Here is a 21,145-nt window from a genome sequence, read left to right as displayed (position 1 = left end):
TTTTCGATCCTCATCTTCCTCCACTCTCCACCCTCAAGTTGGTCCCGGTGTCTCTTTCTCCCTTCTTTGTGAACATGTGTACTCAATGTTTAGCTCCCACTTATAAGGGAGAATATTTAGTCAAGATAGATCCCATGGCTATGTATTGAACTTAAACACCCTGATATTAGAGAATACACCTTCTTCTCAAGGTTTCATAAAACATTCACAAAATTTGAGCAAATATTAGGTAACAACTCAGTGAGTTTCATAAGTTAGAAACAATACAAACATCATTACCAGATCATGGTGAAATGAACGTACAAATTAATAAGAATATTTAAATACCAGAAAAGCCCTTCTATCTGTAATTTTTTTAAATTTTAAACAATTCTTGTGTATAAGGGGAAATAAAACATAAAATTTTAAAATATCTAAGAAAAATTATAACGAACACACCACATGTTAAATTACTATTAAACCTTGTATAAGATGAAAATTCACATCAATAAAAGAAAACAAATCTGAAAAATCAATAAAAAGAAAACACAAGAAAGGAAATAAGAAAGATATAGCAGAAATTAATGGAGTAGGAAACAAAAATAATAGAAAGATAAATAAAATAGTGTTAAAAATTAACAAGTAGGCAGACCATAAATAATCTGAAATCAAGAGAAAAGGGGAAATATATACGAAGTAAGAAATGAGGAGAAATAACCATTGAAACAGAGGAAAGTTGTAAAAAACTGTAAGTGGCAACTTTTCATGAATCTTTTTGATAATGATTGAGCCATTTCGTACACCCACCAGCAATGTATGAACGTGTTTACGTCTCCACGGACATTGCCATCAAACTGTGCTGCAAGCTTTTGAATCGTCAGTTTGACAGGTTAGAAATGACGTCTTAGTGTAGTTTTCTTTTGTTTTTCTCTTAAGAAAAAGTAAGGTTGACTATCTTTTCATATTTTTAAGGATCTTTTTTGTTACCTGTGTGCTCATATCTCTTGCCTTTTTTTCCATTTTCTTTTTCTTTTCTTTGTCTCAAATTTTAAGAGTTTAAGAAGAGTCATTATTTTGAATACATAACTCTAACTGTATACCCTCAGGGGAATATATTCTAAGGACAAAAACACAAAATTTGAACTTTACTTAGTAGGCTCATTTCTAGTAATGGTTTTGCTATAATAATTCCAATACTGTTTTGTGCATCTTATAGGATAAGCAAACAGGTAAATATATTGATGTTACTGGGAACAAGGTTCATTGTGTGGAAAAGGAAATAAAAATATGGAATGAGAAAGAAGAACTCTGAAGTGTTGGATTAGAATTGGGGATATATATATATATATGAGCTTGTGCTTTTAAACTGCATATATGCATGTCTTAGTCTGTGTTGCTATAAAGGAATGCCTGAGGCTAGGTAATTTATAAAGAAAAGAGGTTTATTTGGCTCATGGTTCTGCAGGCTTTACAAGAAGCATAGCACAGGATCTGCATCCGGTGAGGGCCTCAAAGCCCTTCCACTCATCGTGGAAGGAGAAGGGGAGCCAGTGTGTGCAGAGATCACAAGGCAAGAGAGAGAAGAGGGAGGTGCCAGGCTCTTTTTAACAACCAGCACTTGCAAGAACTAGTAGAACAAGAAGATAACTCACTTATTACTGCCAGGATAGCACGAAACCATTTATGAGGAATCCACTCACATGACTCAAACACTTTCCATTAGGCCCCACCTTCAACATTTGGAATCCAATTTCAACCTGAGATTTGGAGGGTCAAACATCCAAACTGTAGCAATCCACATATATGTGTGTATACACACACACACACACACACACACACACACACACACACACACTCTAACAAAGCAGGTTATAAAATCTAAAAATTTTTTTATTTGTTTGTATATTCCTAGTCTGTCCTCTGAAAGGACTTAAAAGCAATAACACCTCAGTAGTAATTAATACACCTTATACCCAAACTTTGATTTCTAAATACATTTCCTACCAAAATCTCCTTGAAGGATTGGCTGTTTCTAGGTCTGTGGCAGGGAAAGTAAGTATAAGGTAAGCCTGGGATATCTTGTGCTAGAAAGCAAGGAAGTGTTCAGGCATGCCAAAATGACACAGGAGCCAACTTGAAGGGATTCCCCTTGGCCAAATTTGAGTGTCAGAAAGAAGAATGGTGGTAATTGATTATACACTGAACAACAACAAAAAGAATTTAATATTTGTAATATGGAAAAATTAATCATTTAATTTCTAGAAATAGGCATGTGTTCTACTTTAACTCATGTAGGTCCCTTTATGCATAATCATAGTCTCATCCAAATTAGGTATTACAATAGTACTGCCTTATCCACAGTTTTGCTTCCTACAATTTCAGTTACCCATGGTCAACTATGGTCTGAAAATATTACATACAATAAGATATTTTGAGAGAGACACCACATTCACATAGCTTTTATCATGGTATGTTGTTATACTTGTTCTATTTTGTTATTATTGTTCATCTTTTTAATTTATAAATTAAACATTATCCTAGGCATGTACACGTAGGAAAAAAAAAACATAGTATATGTAGAGCTTGGTACTATCCGTGGTTTCATCCATCCATTAGGGGTCTTGGAACATATTCCTCACTGATAAGGAGGGCTTATTGTATTATTTCTACTTTACATATAGGAAAACTGAGACTCAGAGAGCTTAGGAGCTTGTACAACATCACATAGCTAATAAATAGAAGAGCCATTACTCTTCGAATCTGTCTGACACAAAAAGAGCCTGTGCCCTCACTTATTACACTAAACAGCCTCTAAAATGGAGCTCATATTATATACTGCTTTATTGCACTTGCTTTGTAAACATTTTTCTCTATCATGAAATATTTTCTGTAATATTCTTAATGGCAACACGATCTTCTATTGTATATAGTCATTTGTCTAACTGATCCCATTTGTTGGACATTTGAGTAATTTTCAAAATCTTGCTATTATATACAATACGCTGAATACCAATGTTTTAAATCTATTCAGACCTTTTTCTTACCATAAATTTCTAAACATTAAATGGCTTGATAAAAATATTTTTTAAAAAATCCAACACTTTGGATATATATTGCCAATTTGTCCAAACATTTTTGCAACACTTTACACTACCAGCAGTATGTGAGGGTGTTCGTTCCTCTGAACTCTGGAAAACTTTTGACATCATCATTTATAAAAAAGAAAAGAAGCCATTTTGATAGGCAAAAGGGTATTTCAGTGTCTTAGTTTGCATTTTCCTTCCATATTTATTGAGGTATATTGAGGTGTAAATGACAAAAATTGTGTATATTTAAGGTACGCAATGTGATGTTTTCATACAGTATACACTATGAAACGATTACTATAATCAAATTAATTCATATGTCTAACACCCTCATAGTTGCCTTTTATTGTTCGGTGATGAGAGCATTTAAGATCCACTCTCTTAGAAATGTTCAAGTAGGATCCTTGCTTCCAAAATGCCAAAGGAAAGAAGGAACAATGGTCATGCCATTCACTTGCAGCCTGTTCACTGCAAGAACTGTGCTCAATGCATGCCCAGGAATAAGGCTATTAAGAAGTTTGTCATTAAAAACATAGCAGAGGCCACAGCAGTGAGGGACATTTCTGAAGTGAGCCCTCAATGCTCACAGTGTTTCCCAAGCTGTATGTGAAGCTATATTGCTGTGCGAATTGTACCATTCACAGCAAGGTAGTCAGGAATTGATCTCGTGAAGCCTGCAAGGACTAAACACCCCTACCACTATTTAGACCTGTGGGTTCTTCCCCATGGCCCCAACCAAGGCCCCTGTAAGGAGCTGAGTCCTTACAGACTGAAGGAAAACTACTCTCTGGAGAAAAATAAAGTGGAAATTGTACTTATTTTTAAAAAAAAATAAAAGAAAAATAAAATAAAAGAAAACTCCTGTAATCCCAGCTACTTGGGAGGCTAAGACAGAAGAATCGCTTGAACCTGGGAGGTGGAGGTTGCAGTGAGCCTACATCCCAGGCATGTCAGCCTGGACAAAAGAAAGAAAAGAAAAGAAAAAAAAGGGAAGGGAAAGGAAGGGAAAGGAAGGGAAGGGAGAAAAGAGAAGAGAAGGGAGAGGAGAGGAGAGGAGAGGAATCTTGAAGTATACATTATTATTAACTATAGCCAGCATGCTATGAGAAGAGAAGAGAGGAGAGGAGAGGAGAGGAGTGGAGAGGAATCTTGAAGTATACATTATTATTAACTATAGCCAGCATGCTATGAGAAGAGAAGAGAGGAGAGGAGAGGAGTGGAGAGGAATCTTGAAGTATACATTATTATTAACTATAGCCAGCATGCTATACATTAGATTTCGAGAATTTACTAATCCTGTGTAACTGAAACTTTGGACCCTTTGAGCATCAGCTCCCTACTTTCTCTACCCCCAGTCCTTGACAGCCACCACGCTGCTCTCTGCTTCTATGAGTCTGACATTTTTAGATTCCACATGTGTGCTAGATCATGTAGTATTTGTCTTTCTGTGTCTTGCTTTGTCTCTTTTAAGAAGTGTTTGTTCATGTCCTTTGCCCACTTTTTGGTGGGGTTGTTTTTTTCTTTAAATTTGTTTAAGTTCCTTGTAAATTCTGGATATTAGACCTTTGTCAGATGGGTAGATTGCAAAAATTTTCTCCCATTCTGTAAGTTGCCTGTTCACTCTGATGATAGTTTCTTGTGCTGTGCAGAAGATCTATAGTTTAATTAGATCCCATTTGTCAATTTTAGCTTTTGTTGCAATTGCTTTTGGCGATTTCATCATAAAATCTTTGTCCATGCCTATGTCCTGAATGGTATTGCCTAAATTTTCTTTTAGGGTTTTTATGGTTTGGGGTTTTACTTTTAAGTCTTCAATCCATCTTGAGTTAAAGTTTTAAAGCATAAGGAAGGGGTCCAGTTTCAGTTTTCCACATATGGCTAGCCAGTTTTCCCAGCACTATTCATTAAATAGGGAATCCTTTCCCCATTGCTTGTTTTTGTGAGATTTGTCGAAGATCAGATGGTTGTAGATATGTGGTCTTATTTCTGAGGTCTCCATTCTGTTCCATTGGTCTATATGTCTGTTTTGATACCATGCTGGTTTCTTGTAGTATAGTTTGAAGTCAGGTAGCATGATGCCTCCAGCGTTGTTCTTTTTGCTTAGGATTGTCGTGGCTATATGGGCTCTTTTTTGGTTTCATATGGAATGCTTGTGATTTTTGCACATTGATTTTGTATCCTGAGACTTTGCTGAAGTTGCTTATCAGCTTAAGGAGTTTTGGGGCTGAGACGATGAGGTTTTCTAAATATAGGATCATGTCCACAAACAGAGACTATTTGACTTCCTCTCTTCCTATTTAAATATCCTTTATTTCTTTCTCTTGCCTGCTTGCCCTGCCAGAACTTCCAATACTGTGTTGAATAGGAGTGGTGAGAGAGGGCATCCTTGTCTTGTGTCGGTTTTCAAAGGGAATGCTTCCAGCTTTTGCCCATTTAGTATGTTATTGGCTGTGGATTTGTCATAAATAGCTTTTACTATTTTGAGGTATATTCCATCAATACCTAGTTTATTGAGAGTTTTTAACATGAAGGGATGTTGAATTTTATTGAAGGCCTTTTCTGCATCTATTGAGATAATCACATGGTTTTTGTCATTGGTTCTGTTTATGTGATGGATTACATTTATTGATTTGCATATATTGAACCAGCCTTGCATCACAGGGATGAAACTGACTTGATCGTGATGGATAAGCTTTTTGATGTGCTGCTGGATTTGGTTTGCCAATATTTTATTGAGGATTTTTGCATCAATGTTCATCAGGGATAAGCAATATATTGTTTTAAAATATGTATATATTGTCGAATGGCTGAATCAAGCTCTGAATTTTATGCTTTTGTATGTTCTAATATTTATTTTAGTTGTTAGTTAGCATCCTTTATTTTCAGGTTGAAAAACACCCTTTAGCATTTCTTGAATAGCAGATCTAATGGTGATGAATTCCCTTAGCTTTTGTTTGTCTGGAAAGGCCTTTATTTCTCCTGAATTTCTGAAGAACAGCTTTGCCAGTTATAATATTCTCAGTTGGTAGGGTTTTCTTTTTTAATACTTTGGCTATATCACCCCTCTCTCTCCTAGCCTGCAGAGTTTCTGCCGAGAAATCCACTTATATTCCTTTGAAGGTTCTCTGTATATGATAGGCCACTTTTCTCTTGCTGTTTTCAAAATTCTCTTTTGTTGTTAACTTGTGTGAATTTCATTATAATATCTCAGTATATATCTCTTTATGTTCAATCTATTTCTATTTTGGATTCTTTGGGCTTCTTGCATCTGGATTTTCATTTCCTTCTTCAGATTTGGGAAGTTTTCAGTCATTATTTCTTTAAATAATCTTTCCACACATTTCTCATTATTTTCTCTTTCGGGACTTCCATAATGTGTATACAGGTTTGCTTGAGGCCAGGCACGGTGGCTCACGCCTGTAATCCCAGTACTTTGGGAGGCCAAGGCGGGCAGATCACCTAAGGTTGGGAGTTCGAGACTAGCCTGACCAACATGGAGAAACTCTGTCTCTACTAAAAATACAAAATTAGCCGGGCATGGTGGCACATCCCTGTAATCCTAGCTACTCAGGAGGCTGAGGCAGGAGAATTGCTTGAACCCAGGAGGCAGAGGTTGTGGTGGGCCAAGATCATGCCATTGTACTCCAGCCTGGGCAACAAGAGCAAAACTCCATCTCAAAAAAAAAAAAAAACAGATTTGCTTGAAGAGACCATAAGCTTTCTTCACTCTTTTTCATTTGTCCTTCCTTTCGTTCCTCCTACTGAGTAATTTCAGATGACCTGCCTTTGAGCTCGTTGATTCTTTCTTTTGCTTCACTGACTATTGTTGAAGCTGTTGATGGAATTTTTCAGTTCAGTCATTGTGTTTTTCAGCTCTGGATTTTTTTTTATGGCTTCTATTTCTTTGCTGAGCTTCTCATATTTCTTACGTGCTGTTTTCTGATTTTATTCACTTGTCTATCTGTGTTCTCTTGTAGCTCACTGAACTTGTAGTTCACTGAGCTTCTTTAAGTTAATTATTTTGAATTATTTTTCAGGCATTTTATAGCTATCCATTTTTTTAGGGTTGGTTACAGGTGCTTTGTTGTTGTTGTTGTTGTTGTTGTTGTTGTTGTTTGTTTTTTGCTTTCCCTTTGGTGATGTCATGTTTCCCTGATTATTCATGATTCCTGTGGCATTGGCACCTTCTCCAGTCATTAAAGACTGGCTTCACCAGGAGAAGCTCTTCACCTGTCAGCTTGTCCAGGGATTCTGTGTGGACCAGCAGGGAAGGTCTCTGGGTTGGCTTTGCTGAAATCCTTGGGCTGGTAAGCCTGGTGCATGGGTCAGTAATGGCACCCCGGTTCCTGGGTCAGTAATGATGGTTGAGCCTGGAGCTTGGGTTCACCAGTGCCAGACTGGTACCTGGGGCCATGGAAGATGGCCTGGCCCTAGGGTAGGCCTAAACCCTTGGGCCATGAAGAATGAATGCAGCTTAGGGCTATAAGGGCCATCCTTGTGCTATGATGAGTTTGGATCTTGGGTTGGCAGTGGCTTTACTAAAGGTCAGATCCGTGGGAACCAGCCTGATACTGGGGTGGGAGCCTGAGTCCATTGGAGCTAGCCTAAAGCCTGGAGCCACAGGGACCAGCCATGTTTAGTGGTTGGCCTGGAGCTTGGGTCTATGTGGACCAGCCTGGAGTCTCAGGCCTTGAGGCCTTGCCTATCACTAGGGTAGGCCTGTAAGCTTGGTCATTGGGTGCCAGCCTGGCACCAGGGTTCCCTGGGGTGGGCATGGTGCTGGGTTCTACAGTGAAGTTAGGTGTTTACTTCACTCTCTTCTGCCACATGGAAGGTATTTCTCTCCACACTGTGCTGTGTAAGCCTGGGAGAGTAGTATTGCAGGTAATGCTAAACTATTCTTCTTACACTCTTCAATGCATCTTTTTTTATGTCTGTGTTCCACCAGATACTGTAATCTCTCACCTGAATTCCTTAGCACTTGTGAAGGAATTTTTTAGCCTGAATGATTGTTCAAGTTGATGTTTCCATGAGGGAGCAAGCACTGGAAATGCCTATTCTGCCATACTGTTGACATCACTCCTCTAATTTGCGTTTTAAAATTACCACTATGGTTGAATATTTTAAATTGTCTCTGTTAATTTCCATTTCTTTTTTGTGAATTGCCTATTGATGTCTTTTGTCCATGTTTCTATTGAAAGGTGCAGCTGATATTTATTGATTTATAAGAAATTTTATATATTGAAGATTTTAACATAAACTGCATATTTTAACATTGTTTAAAATCCAAAATTACAGTTTCAAACCATACAAAAATAATGAAACTAAAATACTGCCATATTATTTTCCCACATCTATTGATATCATGGTAAAGCATTTCAGGAAACATTAAGAAAAAATTTTGACTCCTTTTCAGGGGTGATATGAAATTGAGTTAACTTCCCACTGCCTACCTTTTCTTTAAAGAGAAACTTGCATCTTTTTCAAAAATAGTGAGCAAAGCTTAGGACAACAAAGTGATCCATTTTGACAAAAATGCTAAGAAGATTGAAGTAGACAAGAGAAAAGATTGTAGAACCAGTAGAAAATATATACAGTGTATTTTACTTCAGCTACATGTGACCCAGTAATTCAATAAAATTTAAGTGTCATTATAAAAAGATTTTGCAGATGTACATGTATTTTGAATTGGAGGGTTTTTACAGAGTTCCCATTTCTCTCTTATGTACTTACCTGAGATTGATGGAAAAAATAGCTTGAATAATCAGGCTATGACAAATAGTGGAATTTTTCCCTATGCAAAAGTAACGGGTTGGAATAAAAACTTAACCTATAACATTGGCCTCATTAGTCCGATATTCCAGTCAAATTACTTCAGTACTAAATGTCATTGAAAAGAAGAAATGGATTACGTATTCTCTTGGCCTTAAGTAAGACTGAATCAGTGTGGTTGGGTGAAACAAGACTGAGGTAGAAAAATAGGGTCCTAGTGTCAGCTCTCTGTGTCCTAGGTGCAAAGCATTTCCTTTCTCTAGGTGTTATTTTCCTCTTCTGTAAAATGAGGAGATTGAGGCAAATGGCTTGTGTGTGGTGTGTTCTTTCCAAAATATCCTTTTAATTGCAGAACACTTTTAGACTTACAGAAAAGTTGCAAAGATAGTACAGAGAATTACCATATACTCCTCATTTAGTTTCTCATATATTTTTTTAGATAGTACAAAGGCTGTCATAGTTTCTTCTATTGTCAACGTCCTATATCACCATGGTACATTTGTCACAACTAGGAAATGAACATCAATAATTACTCTTAACTGCATTTGACACTTCATTTGGATGTCACCAGTTATTCTTTTCCAGGATCCAATTCAAAATAGGATATTATATCGTGTCATGTTTTCCTATCTTCCCATGGTCTATAACAGTTTTCTGACCTAGATGACATTGACAATTTTGAGTAGCACTGGCCAGGTTGTTTTTTTAATGTCCTTCAATTTGGGTTTTGCTGATGTTGTGCTTATGTTTAAACTGGCAGTATGCTTTTGGAGAGGAAGACCACAGAGGTGCCATTATCATTGCATCATATCAGGTGTCTGTGCCATAATGTACATGCTATCATTGATGATAACCCAGCTGAGGTAGTGTTTTCCAGGCTTCTTCACTTTAAATGTACTGGCCCCCTCCTTTCTAAACCATACTGGATTACTCTGTGGTCTTTTTGAGCTCTAACATAGCATGATTTTATTGTTGCAGACAGATTCCCTTACTTGTGCAGATCAATTTGATAGAGTAGAATCCATCACCCAGGATTGCATACTTGTGCTGGGTAACTCAGCTGAAAGTTTTCTTGGGACCCATTTCATACTATATAGCTACGTGAGAATTATCAGTTATTATTCATAAAATGAGACTCTAACTGCTTTATGCTAACCTTTATAAAAAGTGTACTCTACTAAGAAATGATGATACCTTTTAAAATCTTAGGGATGCTCTAATTTCTGGAATCCTTTTACCAAGAAAACCCAAAACCTACAACTTCCAGATCCCCAGTGCCCTGATGATAGAGGAAAGGAAATTAAAGAAATTTGCAGCTTTGGGGGATGTTGATGGGGATGGGAACATAAATGAATGTCTGTTGTATATTAAGTCAAGGATTTGGAATCAGGAAATTAGGTGAGGTTTTTGTTTTAACTCTACAGCTGTGTGAAGATGGCAGCTGAAGTTCTCTCAAAGACCGGAGGCCCTCTGTGTTACTCTCTTCAGAGAATCACAACTACACAATCATCTCCTAGGGCAGGAAAGTAGAGAATTCAATGAGTCAATGACTTTCTACCTTTCTCCACTTCCAGGATGGTTTTGTAAAGGGATCAATTAAACAGGCTTAATAATGATTGCTAACCTTTATTGGGCATTTAGTATGTGCCAGGCATTTTTTTCTAGGTACTTTACATATACTGACTCATTTAGTGTTCACAACAACCTTATGCAGATGTTGTTATTGTGCACATTTTATGGTGAAGATACTGAGAGGCAGAGAATAACTTACCCAAGATTATTACACACACTAGTTAGCAGCAGAGTTGAGATTTGAACCAAGAAACCTTGGCTCCAGAGTCCCTGCTCTTTATTATACCATATGACAACTGCCTCCCTTTACACAGAGTGAAATCCCCAACAGGGCCAGTTCTTTTTGCAACCAAACAGTAAGTGTTGTATCCTCAGCAACTAGGACAATGTCTAATACATAGGATCCAGCCAACAAATAATTACTGCATTAAAGGAGAAGACTTGAGGATCCGGATCATGAATCAACCCCATTTGAATAATACATTAGTGACTCTTTCAGAAGAACACTGTCATGGTGTCACTTCAGAAAACCCAGAACAAACTGGGTCCTTATAATCACCACTTCACTCTCTCTACCTCCTCATCTGTTCACATCTTATAAGGCAGATGAGAAGGTTTCATAGTTTTTCATCACTCATCGTTTTCCATCTTCTCTATCATATCCTGTCTTCCCAGCCTTTTATAAGCCCTGCTCCTTAACGTTAACTGTGAATAATAAGTTAATGACAGGGTTTTTAAAATTCCAATATCTAAAAGTTTGCAGAAGGACACATACCACATATTTATGGCTATGATTACATGATGCTAACTCAGAAAAGTGAGTTTCAAAGTATCAGCTACCAGAGGTTGTGGATATAAATCAATGAATACATTTCTATTTTAAAAATTTAAATAATATACAGGTCAAATGGGTAAGAGGAAGAGATAGCTGTGTATGTCTATTTCTTACTCTCTATAGTCACAAGTTTTATTTGGGTCTTTTTAAAAGAACCTGGTTACTATTGCCAATAAGTACTCAAACCAGGAAAGAGAGTAGGAGAATATTTAGGAATCTGAGAAACTCCCATCATCAATAATGAAGAAGTGATTGGCAGTGATTTGGACCATAGAGAAAGGGAGAATTAGTTGAGCAGAAAATGAAGTAAAATAGAAAAAAAATAAAATTTTAAAGAAGAATTAAAAGTACTGATTCATGTCTAAATTTATATTTTTGCTACGTTATTCATTAAACTGTTTTTTAAATTTATCCCATCATTATGCTGCTTATTCTTCCTGACTCCACAAAGCAAATAATAATACAAAAATAAATAAGATTTGAGTTATGGAGAGCACTTAATGGTGCTGTGACTTGAGATGAAACCACTAAATAATTGTGTCTGTCTGATAAGGAATACACAGATGGGCCCGTTATGCAACTGCAAATGGAGATCATATATTAAACTTGTGATAAGGTACCTAACTAGACATGTTATTTATAAATATTGCTGTAGTCTTGGAATGGAAAATATAAAATACGTAGTAAATGAAAGTTTTAAGATAATATAATACAGAACTGGGATATTAAAATGATTTATTACTCTGATAGGATCTTTTCCATCCTGAGTATTGGATAAAACTAGCACCATACTAAGGCAAAAGAAAAAAGCATGCTGCAATAGAGAATAATTCATTTCATTTAGGAGAGGAAAAGTAGGGATTCAAACACGTGGAGCAACAAAAAAGGTGTCCTCATTGCTCTGTTATACTATCTCAATCTTTTCTTAATTGGCATTTAATTTTAATGTTTCATCATGGCAGACTTGCAAAATGTGTTTTGTAAAACAGTTCAAGTTAAAATGCCTTTTGTTTTTTTTCTTTTAATTAGCGAAGTTCTTTCTTTCAAAGGGAATTCTACCTATATACGACACAACAGCTTTTCGGGTTTTCAAAAATGTTTGAAAGAGACCTCAAAACCATACTGACTACATTTAAATTGCTTTAAAAAGAAACATTTAAGTATGTTTTATTTATGTTCATGATGTAGTGCAAGCACAAATAATATTTTTAGTATAAAATGTATATGTATAGCCCTAGGAAAAAAAGAGAAAAGTTGAATGAAACTGCTGAGGCAATAGTAGATACCATAAATAAACATGCATTACTTCTTTAATTTAGTTCTTGAAAAATGCTTCTCTGAAACTAATAGTTTTCAATCCTGCATGTAATATGGTTATTATCAGGATAAAATTCAGATCTGAAGGTAATTTATCAAAGGGCTATAGTTCACTCATATGCCAATTTGATGTTTAATGTAATAAAAATGGGATTTATTTTAAGATGGGAAGATAACCTGGTTTCTGTAATGTTGGCAGTCACTGCATTTAATTCAAGTAGCATTTATTTTTGCAGTGATATTCCTTATTGCAGAAGCATCTAGTCTCACATCATGGCCACTGAAGTATCGGTCTGGTGAAATTGCTTCCCACGGGAGTTAGTTGAAAGCCTGAAGTCATCAGGGGTCACCATCTGGGTAATGTACTTCGTATATATTTCAGGAAGGGAACTGTCCAACATACAAGCAGATCTGTAGTTTTGACAAGCCTTGGAAGTAAAGTACAACAGCTGTAGCATTCCCTAGCCTGAAGGAACATGAAGGGAACTAGTAGGGGGAGAATGCTGACAAAAAGGGAAAACAAAGTATCTTAGAAAATATTATATGCTTTTGTCTTGGCATGCTGCGAAGCAGGACATGATCCATAATGGTCAGGACTTTATTTGTAAGATAGGTTTCAAACTTTCTAAATAGGTTTATTTAGTGGATTTAGAAAATAAAAACCCAAAATTCTTGCAACAAATAAATATAACACCCCTAGCTGAATATCTTTGCATTTCAAGGTGCAAGATGAATTCCTTGAAAGCAAAGTTACATTTGTCTTAAAAGTCTTATAATTTCAAGGTTAACTTGTATATTTATTATCAAAGCCCTATTTATTGTTAGGTGTATTCAAAAATTACCTGTAAGAGAGTGGACACAAAACCCCAAAAGATACATAATAACATGAAAAGGGGTCCTGTCTCCTGACAGTAGCACTATAAAGATATTTCAATAAATTTAAATACCTAAAAGGAATTCTTCCCAACACCCAAATTTTCCTTATTCAGATATTTTGAAGATAATTTTGTAGGCCACTAGATTTCAAACTATATTATTTGGATCTTTTGGACAGCCAATCCCTTTCAGTCAAATTCTGTTTTATCTGTTTTATGTATCTGGGAACTGTTCATATTTAATTGCTGAATGGTTCTGCTGCTTTGAAATGTTTTGAAAAGCCCAATTTTAGACAGAAAATAGCAATAAAAGAGATAGAATAAAACAATGAAACTATTCATTCAGCTTAACAAAGGTTTGTTGAGCACCTGGTATTTTAAAATTATATAATAATACATGAATACATTATCATTGTAAAAGATTCTAACAATACTATGAAAATGTCAAAGTATCCTTTTGGTTTTCACAGCTCCCTACTCTAAACATCAATAGTTTGGTATTCATTTTTCAGGTCTCTTTCTATGCATTTAAAAAATGTAAATATATATAAATACATATTTTCTACTAAAACCAGATCGTAGAATATGCATTGTTCTACAATATTTTTCATAAAATCTTAGAGCTTGTTTCATTTCAGTACATACAGATCATCCAGTGATGTGTTGATAAATGTTTAACAAGCTCTCTGGCCCAAAAAGCCTGATCTGCCACATTTCCTAATTCCCAGGATGTAAATACACCTGCCATGGTCAATTTCAACTGCCAATATAAAGTCATTGGAGGTGGAATTGGGAAGAGATGTGCACAGTTGGCTTTTGTAAACCAGTATAAGCCAGCTCCAGCATATCACTTGATCAGTCCTTTTTCTCTCTCTTTTTGGCTTTTTATTTTGAAATAATTTTAGACTTACAGAAAAGTTACAAATATAGCACAGAATCACTGTATTCCTGTCACTGAGCTTCTCCCAATATTAGCATCTTGCACATAGTACAATTACTAAAACTAAGACATTAACATTGGTATGAGGCTATTAACTAAACTTAGAGTTTAATTCAGAGTTCTCCAGTTTTTCCACAGTCTTTTCTGTTACAGGATTCTTTCTAGATCCCCATATTGTATTTAGTCATCATGTCTCCTTAGTTTCCTTCAATCTGATAATTTCTCAGTATCAGTCCTTTTAATTCTTATAAAGGATTTCATAGTAAGCGTGTACCACTCTTCCATAGATGGGTATATTGGTTGTTCTAATTTTTAACTACATTAATAAAGTCAATATATTAACAATGCAATGGCGAATTTCCTTGCACATGCCCCTTTATGCCCCACATGTGATTATTTCTTTAGTACAGACTCCTAGAAGTAGAATTCCTTGGTCAAGGAATATTCTCAATTTAAATAGTGATAGATATCAACATTGTCTTCCAAAGCCACTTTACCACTGTACACTCCTATCAGCAATGAAGAGTACTTCCTGACTACCAATCACAGAGTTAGGTACCAGAAACAGAAAAATGCAGAAGGCATTGTTCCTGCCTTTGGAGTGCTTAATAATGATGAGACAGACATGTAAACAGATATCTTTAATATAGTATGGTAGATTCTATGATAGGGTGCTAAAAGAGAAACATCATATCTCTTTGTGAAATGTAGGTAGTCCAAGATCATCACTGCTCAACAGAAATAATTGTGAACCATGTATGTAATTTAAAGTTTTAGAGTAGCCATATTAAAAAAGTAAGAAACAGGTGAAATTAATTTAAATAAATATTTTATTTAACCTGATATATCCAAAATATTATCATTTCAATGTGTAAATAATATAAAAATATTAATGTGATCTTTTATATTTTTTCTTTTATATCAAGTCTTCAACTCTGACTAGCCACACTTCAAGTGTGCAACAGACACATGTGATGAGTGGCTACCATATTGGATAGCATAGGCCTAAGTTATTCAGCATGTATTTCCCACATTTACTTCTGACGCATTCCTGTGGGATTTTTTTTTTTTTTTTTTTGAGTCAATGAGTGCCTCTTGAAAGAGAGTGGGATGGGAAAGGATTATTGATTATAAATGTTGCTAGAGACCACCAGTCTTATTTATGAGAAACATAGTCCAACATTCTAACAGTACGCAGAAAGAAAACTGCAGAGAGACTTGGAGGTTGCTACAGAAATGTGTACGTTAAGAAGAGGAAGAGCTTCTGTACATGGGGTCAGCCTACCTTGAGTTCCAAGGTGCTTGATTGAATTTGGAATTGAGGAGAGCCAAGACAATCCATTCATTACCTGAACTTTGTAATGAATTTATAATTTTAGAGCACAGCTCTTTGCAATTGGATAGAAAAGGAAGGAGAATAATTGTAAAATGTACAGGGCTCAGCATCAGGGAACATTTGCTAAAAGAGCATTAGGGACTGCCATTTTTAATCTGCTGAAAATACACCATTCCTGGAATATTTGAGTAGACATAAACATTCTGTCCAACCATTGAATTTCAGTGAAATGCAAATAACAGGATGGGTACTCCCTCAGAGATCTGGGTAGCATCCATCTCCATTCATTGAGTATATATATATATATATATATATATATATATATATATATATATATATATATATATATTTTATATATGTCTTAGGGAACAGTAACTTTGACCTTGCTTACAGTCAAGAGTGCTTATATTACATCTACTTCAACCAGCAGTGCTCATTTGGAGGTATATATTCTGGTATGTGAGATTTTAGGTTTATTACTTTCTAATTCTTATTTGTTGGTGACCAGCTTGCAAAGTTGGCTAGCGTACTGAGGTAACAAGATTATGGGTCCAGGACTTATGTGTATGAGTGTTCCTACCACTCTTTGCCTTTCTGACTGAGCTCACACTGGGCTCCTTAGTATTTCTCACACACTTCATGTAAGACTTCAGGGCTTTCTATAAATTCTGTTTTGTCTGCCTGGAAGATTCTTCCACTAGATATTCACAATGGCTTCACTTCATTCTAATCTTGGTTCAAATGTTACCTCCTCCAAGAGGCCTTCTCTGACCACCCTTACCTATTTTTACCTTCATAGCACTTATAACTACCCAACGTTATCTTGTTTATTTGTTGTTTTTTGTTTTTTGGTTTGTTCCCTTAACGTTGTATTCTATCTTATATTTTATATCGTGTATTTTTTATTTGCCTGTCTTAACCCACTACCCTCTCATGTAAGTTCTGGGAGGGTAGAGGTTTTTTTATGTTTTTGCTGCTGTAAACTCAGAAAAAAAAAAAAAAACAGTGCCTGGTTTAAAGTAAGCACTCAAAAAAGTATTTGTTGAATCAACATGTGAATATGACTTAATATTGCCCTGTTTGTTCATTACTAATTTTACCCTTATTCTAGCCAATTGGCTCATAATGTCTATTCTTGGGTTTGGGGGACTCACCTAAACAGTGTGGCTCTAAACACATAGCATAAATCTGGATGGGAATCCACTAGAAACTAAGGAAGCTGTCTTTATACTGCATCTAAAGCTGACATTCAGCCAGTGTGTACACACTGGTTAGACTGTATTAGTTGTTTATATCTGATAGCCATTTTGGTTGGCCAGTACCTATGTTTGGAAGAAATAAAAGGCCAGTAGCCTTGCCATGATACCTGTCTGTGGTCTGTAGCAAATAATTAACTTTCATTATATATTCACACAAACATATATTACAAACAGCTTGTTCCCTGGGAAAGATATAGTAAGTTCAAAAAATTACAAAGCTTCACTGCTCTCAAAGAGTGTTCTACTAAATGTGCCCATACCTCTTTATCTGTCTTGATTGGCTGGAAGCAGTCCATTTCATTCGATGGTGAAAAATTAATCCTTACCTTATATATTTTGAAGTGAATCTCACCACATGCATTTTCTCGCATTTTCAAGTGCCGCCAGGAAAGTGGCTCAACTTAAAGTATATAAAATAGCCCCCTTAGTCTTCTAAATGAGATCTACTATTCCTTTTGTTATATATGGTCCATCTAATTTCACAGAAGTAATTGAACCCAGGGAATGAAACACATTTTCAATATAGCTCCTACTATCCATCATATTCAAATTATTTGGGAGGCAGAGTAGACCAAATTTTCTGTAAAACGGAAAAATACCTCTAATTGGAACAGGTGTGTTAAACTAGAGTCCATTGGCAAGGAAATCTCAAGGATGTCACTAATATAGCTTTATTAATGTGCCATACCATACCTTACTCAGAACCACTATCCTTTGAGTTAAAATTATTTCCAATAATTGCAAGAGAAATTCATCAGGCAGCACTGGCCTTAATCCAAAGAAAAGGGTAGAAACCAGTTAAATGCTTAAAAGTTTTAAGGATAAATTAGGAAGTAGGTGTTAGAAATCTCTTTAGCTCCAACTAAAAGTGGATGAATGATTTTTAAATAGGCTATCCTTCTCTGTTCTCGGTCACTAACTCAAATACTATACATGAGTGTTACACATACTAATTAGCCCCTTTCAGTTCACCTAGGAACACAAAGAGAAATACGAAATGGCTTATGAGCAGATTCACTTTTTTTTTTTTTTTTTTTTTTTTTTGCCTTTTGATAGGATTTGGTTGATGTTGAAAAATGCAATGAGAAAACAAACAAGAGGTTTCTCCAGCTTTTTGCCCTAGGAACTGTTTTCTCCTAACATTCTCTCCCTTCAGTGACTTCATTCACTCTCACAACTTCAACTATTGCCTCTGTGCATATATGACTTTTCATTCTTTTTCTAGCTCTAATATCCTCCAGAACTTCAAACCTCCTATAGTTAGCATTCACTATCTGGAGGGCCCATCAGTCCCAGACACCCAACAACCCCAAAGGCTGAATTCATTGCATTCCTTGCATCTTCTCATCCTGTCTCAAGCCACATATTCAAATAGTCATCAATCAACAAAACACAAATCCAGTACCAACTATTTGTAGCAAGTGCTAGACTAATAAAGAATTCTCTAACTCTATTAATGGTTCCACCATTGTTTCAGTTAGACTCAAAACCTTAACCATTTTGGATTCCTCCCTCCTTTCTCTCACTTTTTTCTACGCCCTCCCACAGCACACCTATACACATGCATGAATGTGTATACAAACACACACAGAGACAGAGAAAGCGAGAGAGAGGGAGAGAGAGAGAGAAAGAAACTTCTTGCCAAATCCTGAAATGCCATTTATGCAATTTCTCCTTAAGAAATCTCCTTCTTTGCATTCCCACTGCAAATAACTGAGACACTCCTGTGACACTACTCTAATTGGGGCACTAATTACTTCTTTCCTAAATTATTGCAATGCCATCCCAATTGATTTATTTGCCAAACCTTTAGGTCTCCAATTCATTCTTCTCCATACTACTACTGGATTTATCTTTCTGCAAAGGATGTTTTTATTATATCAGTTATTTGCCTAAAAACCTTCAGTGCTCCCCACTCTCAAATTAATCATCCGAAAAATTCTGATCATATCACTCAACCTGTCAAAAAATAGAAATGCCTCTGCGTTGCCTAATAAGTTGAATCCAAATGTATAAGTGTGGCACCAGTGTGCTCCACAATATGGCTCTAATCTTCCTTTCTGGCGTTAACTTCCACTGGCACCAGCACATAGCTAAGCTCCAGTGAACCCCAGCAACTTCTTTTGCCTCAGATACATCATGTACTTTACAAAGTCATATTTTGTTCAGCCCTGTCCCTTCTCCCCACCAATCGTTGTCACCTGTCAAAGCCCTACACATCCTTCAAGGTCTATATCTACTCCCACTTCCTTCAAAAATTATTCTTGATCAGCCCAACCTATTTTAACCTCCTGTTCCTTTAAACCGAAAGCTTTCTTTTTCACAGATGGCAAATGTTACACATGTTCATTGTAAAAAAAATATGGAAAACACAGAAATCATAAAAAAAATAAAAATTCTCTGTAAGCTTCCCATGCTGTTAACATGTTGCTATATATTCTTCCAAACCTTTTTTTCTCCAGACATGAACATGTGCACACATACACAAACACACACACTTCAGATCACACTATTTATAATGTTTAGTAGCCTAATGTTTTTCATTTGATACCTTATGAATATTTCCCATGCCATTGCATGGTCTTCTGCAACATGATTTTTAGCAGCCGCATAATCTTGTATTATTTACTATCTCATCAGTTATTTGATTAATCCCCTCTTGATGAATATTTAGATTGATCATAACTTTCTAATATTGTTTTCAGATGTTACAATAGACAGCATTGTACTTTGGCAACATTCATAGTTAATTCACAGAAATTAAATTGTTAGCTCAAAGGGTAAATCAGATTTTAAGTTCATTTAATAAATGGTGCCACATTGCCCTCCAAAAAAGGTCACTGTATTTTTATACTCTCATCAGGAGTGTATGAGAGTGCCCATCTTCCTGCACAGTGACCAACACTGGGTACTTTTTAATCTTCTGATAGCAGTTTAAACCTGTCTTATGTCAATCATTCTGCATAATATTATTTTATCCTGGTATTACTACCAAATCCCACCCTAATAAGCATCTACATTTTAACACCGGCAGCAACTATCATAGGGCTTTATTCATACTAGGCGTTCAGGAAATATTTGCTGAACTGAATTGAATTAAAGCCATAGAGAAGGTCTTCCATGTTCTCATGGTAGTCTGTCCACCATTACTCTGTAATAGTTTCCATATGGAAACTAGTGTTACATGACTAAGGGGAATGGAAAAGGAAAGGGTCACAGCAGTGAGAAGTTAAGTCTAATTGTACTATAGTTGATTCCAATTTCTAATCCTATCATTGGGATAGCTTTAGCCTCAAAATGTTAACAACAGCTACTTTAACAGCTGTTAACACTTATATGTGTGTCGTAGCATGTAAGTAGCTACATGTATGATGTATAGGTATAAACTCCCAGTTACTTGGCCTAACTAAAAGAAAACTGTTCGTAACATTTTTAGGTGCAAAGGGATACCTGGCTTGGAGATGTTCTCAGTGAGTCTGGAATAAATTAATGTATGGCTTGTTCTCTTGCAGCAGTGCATTTGTTCGGCCTGACTTGGCAGTTGCAACCAGTTGAAGGAGAGCTGTATGCAAATGGAGTTAGCAAAGGGAACAGGGGGACCGAGTCCATGGACACTACTTACTCTCCAATTGGAGGAAAAGTTTCTGATAAATCAGAGAAAAAAGGTACAGTGATCAAAATGATTGATTGTTGATTACTTTTCTTCTAATTTGGTCATTAGAACTGTAGCTGGGATGGTTTCACTTCACATTAAATTTCATGATCACTTGAAAGAAGTCCTCTACGTGGACAGAATAAATGCATGTAAATATCTTGTGAAAGCAAATTTTCCTTGTTTCCAGTGCCTTGAGTATAAACCAATTAAAGTTTTCAAATATGTTGGCAATTTTGAAAATAGATAAATATTTACAGAATGGAGGCTTCAATACAATGGAAATTGCATTTCGCATATAACTACCCTGAAGCAACGTGGGATTTTGATTACATTCTCTGTGTCCAAGCCCAGCATTTATATATAACATTTTACAAAGGGTATATGGAAATTTCTTCTGTTTGTAATACGAAAAAGCTTTTTCTGCTTAATGTAAAGGTGAATGTTTATGTCAAAGTTGGATAACATGATTTTTTTCTAGTTTGGGAACATGAATTCTTCCTAGTTGGGAGAAAGAAAAAA

General features: G+C 35.9%; 1 protein-coding gene and 1 pseudogene across 13 annotated transcripts in view; both read left to right on the top strand.

Moving 5' to 3' along the window:
• The window catches only part of TENM1 (teneurin transmembrane protein 1), an 828,410-nt gene that overhangs the window by 511,994 nt on the left and 295,271 nt on the right, over window positions 1-21,145 (top strand). For 12 of the 13 annotated variants that reach the window (XM_017029210.3, XM_017029211.3, XM_047441760.1 and 9 more), the window contains one exon: window positions 20,484-20,636. In XM_017029210.3, the coding sequence (XP_016884699.1) occupies window positions 20,484-20,636 (153 nt within the window). The remainder of the gene's footprint in view (window positions 1-20,483; window positions 20,637-21,145) is intronic. The other variant, NM_001163279.1, reaches the window with a different exon arrangement.
• Window positions 3,481-3,815, top strand: RPS26P57 (ribosomal protein S26 pseudogene 57; annotated as a pseudogene).

Source organism: Homo sapiens, chromosome X (genome assembly GCF_000001405.40).
Source record: "Homo sapiens chromosome X, GRCh38.p14 Primary Assembly".
NCBI lineage: Eukaryota > Metazoa > Chordata > Mammalia > Primates > Hominidae > Homo > Homo sapiens.
This window is presented reverse-complemented; position numbering and strand designations above follow the sequence as displayed.